Consider the following 10,658-nt stretch of genomic DNA (forward strand, 5'->3'; position numbering starts at 1 on the left):
ATAATCAGATAGTCAGGAAGGCCGACACCAAGAAAATGGATACTTGCTCTGAGGGAATGAATATGGAGAGATCAGAAGGTCAAGAACAAAGCCGTACAACATGTCTGCAGTAAAGGGATAGAGAAAAGAAAGGCTATAAAAGAAGGAGTGAAACAGAGTTAGAGTAAAAGTATAAAATCAAAGCTAAGGAGAATTTCTAGAAAGGGTAATATCATTTAATATCATAGAAGTTTAGGAGCACAAGATGGAAAAAAGGCCGGTGGGTAACTGACATTGAGGCAGTCTTTAGGGAAGCTCCATTTCCGATAGAGAAGTAGACAGAAAGTCAGCTTGAAGCAGGGACTAGGTGAAGAAGCTGTTGGCTGGTCGCATGGGGAAATAAATAAGGGATGGCTTATGCCATATTTCTGGATTTCTTTCTTTCTTGCGCAGCCTCTATATATGCATAGAGTTTGGCAAAAACTTACAAAAAATAAAAATGAAACCAATTTCATTTGTAGACTCAAATACAATGCTTTGTGTTAGAATCAAGATAAATTCATGTCTCTCCCTTCTATTGTCACAGTCAGTTTTGAAATTAAACATCAGCTTTTCTTCCTCATTAAAATCATTTTCAACTCCTCCCAGGTGTTGATGGTTTGGGGGAGTTACATAAACAGTCAGGTCTTGATGAGTAGAGGAGGAGGGAACAAACACTTTCAGCAAGGGCAGAATTCTGAAATTCTGCTCATATTTTTCTCCAGTAACTTTCCTATGTTTGTGAGGTTATTCAGTCATAAAGATCCTAGTGACATTTTTTTCAAGCTTGACTAATCGTAATCACTGTGGACGTTTGTTTAAAATGTGTATTCCCAGGCCTCTCACCTGCTGATTCTGATTCAGAAGATCACGGATGGGACTCAGAATACATGTGTTTGACAAGTACCACAAGTGGTTCTTATGGTCAGGCAAATTTTGGAATCTAACCAGGAATTTATGTTTTTATGACTGGCAGCTAGAAAAGATTCCTAGAGTCTTTGCTTTTTGAAAATAAAATATTCCTTCTTTAAAAGGAAAATTGTATGACTAGATACAACATTTATACGTGTGGCACATGTACTATATGGTGTGCTTTTGTCATATTTACAGTTAAAGATGTGTAAGAACACTCTGCAAAAAATTATATATTAAATGCAAAGAGGGGTAAGTCAGGGTGGGGGAGAAATGGGAAGGGTGTGCTTATTGTTGCTAAAAGGTAGAAAAGCCAGAATGATAGCCATCTAAGGTTGCAAATAGCACATTATAAGTTGAGGGAGCTTCATAATCATGTCTGAAACCTTCTTTGATATACTGAGTTGTTAACAGTGGCTTTGGACAAGATTTGAGGGAGAAACCAACTATGCTTTAAAGTGTTCATTTAAAAGGCTTTAATTAAAGGAAAGTCTTTGTATTTACTTGAGCTAATTTAACTTCAGGACTTTAATAAATTACTAGCCCTTAACCTCTTAAAAATTGTCTTTCATTTCAAATGAAAGTTTAAGATGGCCTTTATGTTCGATTGGTATACTTGTGTGAAGACTTAACAGCAAGGTACTATACATTTCTAAATGTTTACTTCTTAATTTTGCTGGAAGAAATATACTACTCAATTGATTATTTTTAAAGCAAAGTAAAACAATTTATTTTGACAAGCAACACTGTATTCTCCCAGTTTTCTGGTGGCAATGATTAGGCTTAACATCACTAATCATGAGAGAAATGCAAATCAAAACCAAAACGAGATACTATCCTACACCAGTCAGAATAGCTACTATTAAAAAATCAAAAAACAACAGATCTTGGGACGCTGTGGAGAAAAGGGAACATTAATACATAATTGGTGTGAATGTAAATTAGTTCAGCCACTGTTGAAAGCAGTTTGGAAATTTCTCAAAGAATTTAAAATAGAATTACCTTTCAAGCCAACAATTGCATTACTGGTATATGACCCAAAGAAAGTCAGTTATTCTACCAAAAAGACATATGCACTTGCATGTTCATCACAGCACTATTCACAATAGCAAAGACATGGAGTCAGCCTAGGTGTCCATCAACAGTGGATTGGATCAATAAAATGTGGTACATCCACACAGTATTATTAGGCCATTCTTGCATTGCTATGAAGAAAGACCTGAGACTGGGTAATTTATAAGAAAAGAGATTTAATTGGCTCATAGCTCTGCAGGCTGTACAGGAAGCATGGTGACGGCATCTGCATGGAGCTTATGGAGTCTCCAGGGAGCTTTTACTCATGATGGAAGGCAAAGAGGGAGTAGGCACATCACATGGCCAGAGCAGGAGCAAGAGAGAATGGGAGTGGGGTTAAGTACCACACACCCTTACAAAACCAGATCTTGAAAGAATTCGCTATCACAAGGATGGTATCAGGCCATGAGAGATCCAACCCCATGACCCAAACACCTCCTACCAGGCCCCACCTCCAACACTGAGGATTACATTTCACCATCAGATTTATAGGGGCCACCTTCCAAACCATTTCACACACCATGGAATACTACGCAGCCATAAAAATAACAAAATCATGTCCTTTGAAGCAACATGGATGTAGCTGAAGGCCATTATCCTAAGTAAATTAATGCAGGAATACAAATCGAAATACCACATGATCTCACTTATAAGTGGGAGCTAAACACTGGGTACTTACGGACATAAAAATGGAAAGAATAAACATCGGGACTACTAGAGGGGAGAAGGAGGAAGGCATGGTTTGATGAACTAACTATTGGGTACTATGCTCATGTATTAATCTGTTCTCACACTGTTGTATAGAACTACCCGAGACTGGGTAATTTATAAAGAAAAGAGGTTTAACTGACTCACAGTTCCACAGGCTGTACAGGAAGCATGGCTGGGAGGCTTCAGGAAACTTATAATCATGGCAGAAGGTGAAGGGGGAAGCAAGGCACATTCTACCATGGCGGCAGGAGACCAAGTGAGCCAGGGGGGATGTTCCATATGTTTAAACCATCAGATCTCATGAGAACTCACTTACCATCTAAGAACAGCAAGGGGAAAATCTGCCCTCATGAGCTAATCACCTCCCACCAGGTCATTCCCCCTGCATTGGGAATTACAATTCAACATGAGATTTGGGTGGGGACACAGAGTCAAAACATACCAAACCAGCATCTGGATGATGGAGTCATTCATACCCCAAAAGTCAGCATTATGAGATACACCCATGTAACAAACTGGCACATATACCCCTGAATGTAAAATACAAGTTAAAATTATCTTCAAAATAAATTAACTAATGAATAAATAAATATGATTAAATGAAATTAAAATTTTGAATTAAAAAAATTTTGAGAGTGATTTCAGCTTGACAGTTATGTAAGTTATGTAAATGGGAACAGTGAGTTCTGTAGGGTTCAGATCAATTGCACTATCTGTACTAAGTTGATGTCCAGTTGTTTGGATGAAAAGAAAAGAGGAGAAACATATAGATCTAACAGGAAAAAAGTGGACAAGTTTTTATGATAGCAAAAAGAAGAATGGAGGAAATAGGAATGAGGTTATAGTGATTGATAGATATTAATAGACGACTAATTCAAAAGCCACCGGTTGCAGAAAATATTGATTAATTTTGTTTTATTCCAGTCAGACATCAAAATCCTATAACCTGCCTCTAGAGAAAACCCTTTTAGCCCTGTAATTATCTTTATTCCAAGCACCATTCCATTCATTAAGTAGTGTATAGGGTGATTAATAAGTGAATTATTCACAGAATTAGGACAGAATTTTTGAGTATTTCAGGATATTAATCTATAGTCAATGAACTAAAATAAAATTTGACTAGAGGTGTGATCACCATGAATGCCATGTTGGTATCTTGTTAGATTTGGCAACCCAAAGTTGACAAATTTATTAATAAAATAAGCGTTCCTTGATGATTAATTTACATTTAGTAAACATGCTCTTTCTTCTTCCTTCCCTTTCTTATTCATTCATTCATTCCTACAGAGCAGTGACTTTCATTCTAAGATTCCCAGAATCCTAAGGAATTCTTGAATGTCATCATAGGGAGCCAGGTGTGAGGATTCCCAAAAGTTGTACTTAATACTTGAAAAATCTCAAAAAAGTTATATATTTACACCAGAAAAAGCTATACAGGTTTTAAGTTATATATATATAGTTAAATACTTTTTATTTCTATCCAGAACTAACTCATTAGAGTTAATAATGTTGATTATTTCATACTGACCTAGTGGGTATCCTTTATATATCATTGATTACTTATTAGTAAAATAAGAACCCCCCCAAAATTACAAAATAAATATATTTTGTGGGTTTTTCTTAAGGCTTTTGAAACATAAAATCAGAGGAGAGGATTAAAATTAATCCTTGATTGTTAAAAAGACAGGGAACTACTAACTTAGAAAATTGTATGAAAACAGGAAGATATATACATGGCCCTCAGACCAGCTGCCTGTTTTAATAAAGTTTTGTTGGAGCACATCCATGGATCTGTGGTGCTTTCCTGCTACAATGGTATAGTTGAATGGTTGCTATAGAGACCGTATGGTTTGCAAAGCCTAAAATATTTATCATCTGGTCCTTTATAGCAAAAGTGAACCCAGTTTTAGAACATTCACTTCACAAATTAAGATACAGTGGATGCTGCCTTAACTGACTTCCACTTAACTGATTTGCAATCAGCACTTTCTGCTACCCCTGTACAACTTATTGACTGATGTCCACTGCAAACTGAAAACCTTTGAGCTACTTTTAATGCCTGTACATTTCTCCTTCCATCACAGAAATTGTATAGTTTCTAAGAGGAAGTTGTGTTCATTCCTAAATATGTTTACACCATTTGTTCTTGTTCTTGTAGTTATGTGATTTAATTAGATATTATGTTGAGAGGCTGAGACGGGTGGATCACTAGGTCAGGAGATCGAGACCATCCTGGCTAACTCGGTGAAACCCTGTCTCTACTGAAAATACAAAAAAATTAGCTGTGTGTTGTGGCAGGTGTCTGTACTCCCAGCTACTGGGGAGGCTGAGGCGGGAGAATGGCATGAACCCGGGAGGTGGAGCTTGCAGTGAGCAGAGATCGCACCACTGCACTCCAGCCTGGGTGACAGAGCGAGACTCCATCTCAAAATAAATAAATAAATAAATAAATAAATAAATAAATAAATAAATATTATGTAAACTGAGAAAATGAGTATAACAACAGTAGTATTGTTGTTTCTTTGAGAAATAAACTAAATGTGTTGGAAAAATGAGAAACTCAAACAGCTGCTCTCAGCTTAACTGTTCTTGGCAAGACAACTAGAAACAAATGGGAAAAATTGTGTAATCTAGGATTTCAGATTGCTTTACCCCAGTTGTCTTCACAGAAAGTGAACAAGAAATCAATGACAACATATCATTGGCGTAGTTTCCACAAGAAACTCCACTCTGAATCCGTGCAAAGCTTTGACCTTGTCATCAAAATTCTGGCAAATTTATTTACACATGTCTTTTAAATTAAAGTTAAGTTTTAAGGACTTACATCTAATACTTCTTATGATTCCTCCATCTAACTTAAATTTGTGATTAATCTGTTTATTACTGGTCCCAATCTGATTGAATAAGGGGCTTTCTACCCTTTTTGCTAACCAAAAGTTTACTTTGATGAAGATGGAATCATAAATACAATAATTCAAGTTTAAAGAATTAGAATGGTAATGGTTAATACAATTTAGTATGCCTAAAAATCATTTGTAAAGCCTACTAACAATGCAAATTCTTCTGCCTTAGGCCTGAGATTTTGATTCAATAGGTCAAGCATGGGGCATAGGAATCTGTATTTTTAGGAATGATAAAGGAAAATTGCTTAAAATAGGGTAAATTATAACTTACAAATATAAAATGAACACTTGTCTAAGATTTTTGTTTAACTCATTTATTTAATTAGGGAGCCAGTAAGATGTTATACTGAGCTTTATGGAAAATTAAAAGAGCCACACATATCTAGGCACTAAGGAACACTGAAATAAATCTGCTTGATAGGTTCAAAACTGACTTCTTGATGGAAGGTGGAAAAAGGAAAATTAATTATACTTCCACCAAAATCAATCATTTGCCTGTCTATAGTCAAGAATATTTGCATTACTATCAGTAATCTACAACTAACAGAATTGCAAATAACAAGGAAAACAAAAGACACAGAGACCCTATAGAAACAGATAACCCAGGTTATTCTAGACAAGGCTGAGGTTTCCATTAAAGACACTCAGTGGTAATTTCGTTGGTCCATCTTAAAATCTCTCCATTTTCTCCTGAAACAAATTGCTCAAGCAATTCAAATACAATGAATGTGGTCAGTGGGTCGCACCTGGAGAAATCATTTTCTAACCTATAATCAAGACTGTTGAATTACTCCCTTCACTGGAAAGAATAAAATATTACCTCATAGATTCATATTATGATAATGGTCCACTATGAATGCTTTGGTGTTCTTAATTTTCTTAAGATTTATTAATATTTCTGAAGTAACTACTGAATGCCAAGCAATATATTTTCTAATTTAATCTTTCATTGACTTTTACTTTCACTTCAATTGAGCTACTCACTTTCATGGCTATAAACTTAACTTTTCAATAACTTAAAAATTGATTTCTAATGTTATAAACTTTTATGTTCCACTCTGTGACATGCTCTTTCAGACTCTCTCTTCCTTACTGCCAATTCACCTTCTCTTCTATCTCTTCCAGTGCCCCAGTATCTTGACTCTTCCATTTTCTTTTTTCTTTTCTTTTATTAAGTGGTTACATGATAATTTCACATGTTGATGGGGTACAATGTGGTATTTTGATATCTGACACATTGTTAAAACCTCTCCTCCCTATCTTTCCCAGTCTGGTAACCACTCTTCCACTCTCTATTAGATCAGTGTTTTTAGATTTCACATATGAATGAGATCATGTGATATTTGTCTTACCGTGGTTAGCTTATTTCATTTACCACAATGTCCTCTATGATCATTCATGTTGTCACAAGTGACACGATTTTATCCTTTTTTATGGCCAAATGTGCATATGATATAGTTTGGATATTTGTCCTGACCCATATCTCATGTTATATTGTAATCCCCACTGTTAGAGATGGGGCCTGGTAGGGGGTGTTTAGGTCATGGAGGTGGATCCCTCATGACTTGGTGCTATCCTCATGATAGTGAATGAGTTCTCAAGCTTCCTGACTAGTCAAGCATATGTTGACACTATGCTCCCTGTGCAGCCCATGGAACCAGGAACCAATTATGTCTCTTTTCTTTTAAATTATCCAATCTCAGGTATTTCTTTACAGCAATGCAAGAATGGCCAAATACAGCATATATGCCACATTTTCTTTATCGATTCATTCATTGTTGGACACTTAGGTTGATTCTTGGCTATTGTGAATAGTGCTGTAATAAACATGAGAGTCCAGAAATCTCTTTGACATACTGATTTAATATTCTTTGAATATATACCCAGTAGTGGGATTGCTGGATTATGTGATGTCTATTTTTAATGTTTTTGGAAGTTATATTGTTTTCCGTAGAAATTGCTCTAATTTACATTTCCACCAACAGTGTATGAACATTCTCCTTTCTTCACATCCTTGCCAGCGTTTGTTATTTTTTGACTTTTTCATAAAAAGCATTCTAAGCAGGGTGAGATGATATCTCACTGTGGATTTGACTTGCGTTTCTCTGATTATTAGTGATGGTGAGTATTTTTTCATATACCTGTTGGTGATTTTTTTGTCTTATTTGGAAAAATGTCTATTCAACTCTCTTGACTATTTTCTAATCCAATTATTTGTGTTTTTGCTATTGAGTTGTTTGAGTTTTCTATAAATTTGGGATATTAACCCCTTATCAAGTGAATAGTTTGCAGATATTTTCTCCCATTTTGTAGGTTGTCTCTTCACTCTTGTGATTGTTTCCTATGCAGTGCAGAAGTTTTTATTTAGAGTAATCCCATTTGTTTATTTTTGGTTTTGTTGTGCATGTCTTTTGATGTGTTTCTAAAAAGTCCTTGCCCAGACCAATGACATATAACATTTCATTTAAGTATTCTTCTACTAGTTTCATAGTTTGGGGTCTTACATTTAAACATTTAATTTATTTTGAGTTGATTTTTGTATATTATGAGAGATAAGGGTCTACTTTCATTCTTTTGTATGGGGATATGAACTTTTCCAAGCATCATTTGTTGAAAAGACTGTCTTTCCCCCATTGAATGTTTGCACCTTTGTCAAAAATAAGTTGCATGTAAATGTGTGGATTTATGCCTGGGCTCTCTATTTTTGTTCCACTGGTCTACATGCCTGTTTTTATGCCAATACCATGCTGTTTTAGTTAGGATAGCTTTGTAATATATTTTGAAATTAGATAGTGTAATACCTCTAGCATTGCTCTTTTTGCTTAAGATTTATTTGGCTATTTGGGGTGTTTTGTAGTTTCACATGGGTTTTAAGATTTTTTTTAATATCTGTGAAGAATGAAATTGGAAATTTGATAGAGATTATATTGTATTTGTAGATTGATTCGAGTAGTATAGTCATTTCAACAATATTAATTCTTCTAGTCCATGAACATGGGATATCTTTCTATTTATTTTAATTTTTTTAATTGTTTTTATCAATATTTAATAATTTTCATCTTTCCATGGCTTAACTTACTTGTAGGTATTTTGTTTCTTTAATAGCTATTTTAAATGGGATTACTTTCTTGATCCCTTTTTCAGATAGTGTGCTATTGGTGTATAGAGATGTTACTGATTTTTTATGTTGCTTTTGTATCCTGAAACCTTATTATATTCATTTATTATTTCTGATTCTCAGTGGTGTATTTAGGGTTTTTTACATATATGATCATGTCATCTGCAAAGAGGGACAATCTGACTTTTTTTTTCCAATTTGGATGCCTTTTATTTCTTTCTCTTACCTAATTGTTCTGACTAGGACTTCTAGTACTATGTTGAAAAAAGTGATTAAAGTGAACATCCTTGTCTTGTTCCAGATCCTAGAGACAAAACTTTCAAGTTTTCACCATTCAGTGTAATGTTGCCTGTGGGTTATCACATATGATCTTTATTTTATTATGTTCTTTTATAACTAATTTGTTAAAAGGTTTGATCATAAAATGATGTCTAATTTTGTCAAATGCTTTTCTGCATCTATTGAAATGATTATATGTTTTTTATCCTTCATTGTTTAATGTGATGTATCAGATTTTATTGATTTACATGTATTAGACTATCCTTACCTCTCCATGTAAATACCACTTGATTATGGTGAAAAATCTTTTAAATGTGCTTTTGAATTATCATTGCTAGAACTGCTGGTTTTGAATGTTTGCATCTATGTTTATCAATGATATAGGCCTGGAGTTTTCTTTTATTTGCTGTTCTTGTCTCATTTTGGAATCAGGAAATGCTGTCTTCATAGAATGAGTTTGGAAGAGTTCCCTCCTTTTCATTTTTTTGAAATAGTTTGTAAAACATTTGTATAAGTTTTTTAAATGTTTTGTAGAATTTGTCAGCGAAAACCACCAAGTCGTGAACTTTTCTTTCTTCCTCTATTTTTTTAGAGACAGAGTCTCACTCTATCACTGAGGCTGGCATACAGTGGTGCAGTCATAGCTGACTGCAGCCTCAAACGCCTGGTCTTAAGTGATCCTCCTGCCTCAGTCTCCTGAGTACAAGTACACACCACTATACCTGGGGAATTTTTATTTTTATTTTTAGAGATGGAGTGTCATTGTGTTGCCCAGGCTAATCTTGAACTCCTGGCCTCTAGTGATTTTCCTGCCTTGGGCTCCTAAACTGTGAGATTACAGTTGTGAGCTACTGTGTGAAGTGAATTTTCCTTGACTGAGAGCCTAAATCTCTCCTTCAGTCTCATTATTTGTCATTGGTGTGTTCACATTTTCTATTTCTTCTTTCTTCAATTTTGATAGGTTATATGTGTCCAGAGCATACGTTTTTCTTCTAAGTTTTTCAATTTATTGGCATATAATTGTTTGTAGTACTTACTCATGATTCCTTATATTTCTCTAGAGTCTATCATAGTATATCCTTTTTCATCTCTGATTTTATGTGAATTTTCTCTTTTTTTCTTAGTCTGACAAAACATTTGTCAATTTTACCTTTTCAAAAAAGATTCCTTCATTTAATTAGTCGTTTGTAATTTTTGTCTTCATTTTGTATATTTGTGCTCTGATCTTTATATTCTTTTGCTAATTTGGGTCTTAGTTTGTTCTTGATTTTATCGTTCCTTGAAATACATTGTTAGATGGTTTATTCATTATCTTTCTTCTTTATTGATGTAGAAATGTATTGCTGTAAACGTCCCTCTAAGGACCATTTTGCTGTATTTCATAAGTTTTCATATGTTCTGATTTCATTTTTACTCGTTTTAAGACATTTTTAAAATTAATTTTTTTTCATTGACCCATTGGTTGTTTAAGGATATGTTGTTTTATTTGTATGTATTTGCACAATTTCTGAAGTTCCTCCTGTTGTTTATTTCTAGCTTTATTCCATATGGTCAAAAAACACGTGATGTGATTTGATTTTTTGATTAGCTAAGACTTGTTTTGTGGTCTAACATATCTATCATGGACAATATTCCATATGCAG

At 34.5% G+C, this 10,658-nt stretch overlaps 1 annotated feature.

The window, feature by feature from the left end:
- Positions 1 to 10,658: part of a centromere (Linear centromere model derived predominantly from reads generated in PMID: 17803354. This region does not represent an actual centromere sequence, as long-range ordering of repeats and unmapped WGS contigs is not provided by the model. For details of model production, see http://arxiv.org/abs/1307.0035.) that runs on past both edges of the window.

Source organism: Homo sapiens, chromosome 20, assembly GCF_000001405.40.
Source record: "Homo sapiens chromosome 20, GRCh38.p14 Primary Assembly".
Taxonomy (NCBI): domain Eukaryota; kingdom Metazoa; phylum Chordata; class Mammalia; order Primates; family Hominidae; genus Homo; species Homo sapiens.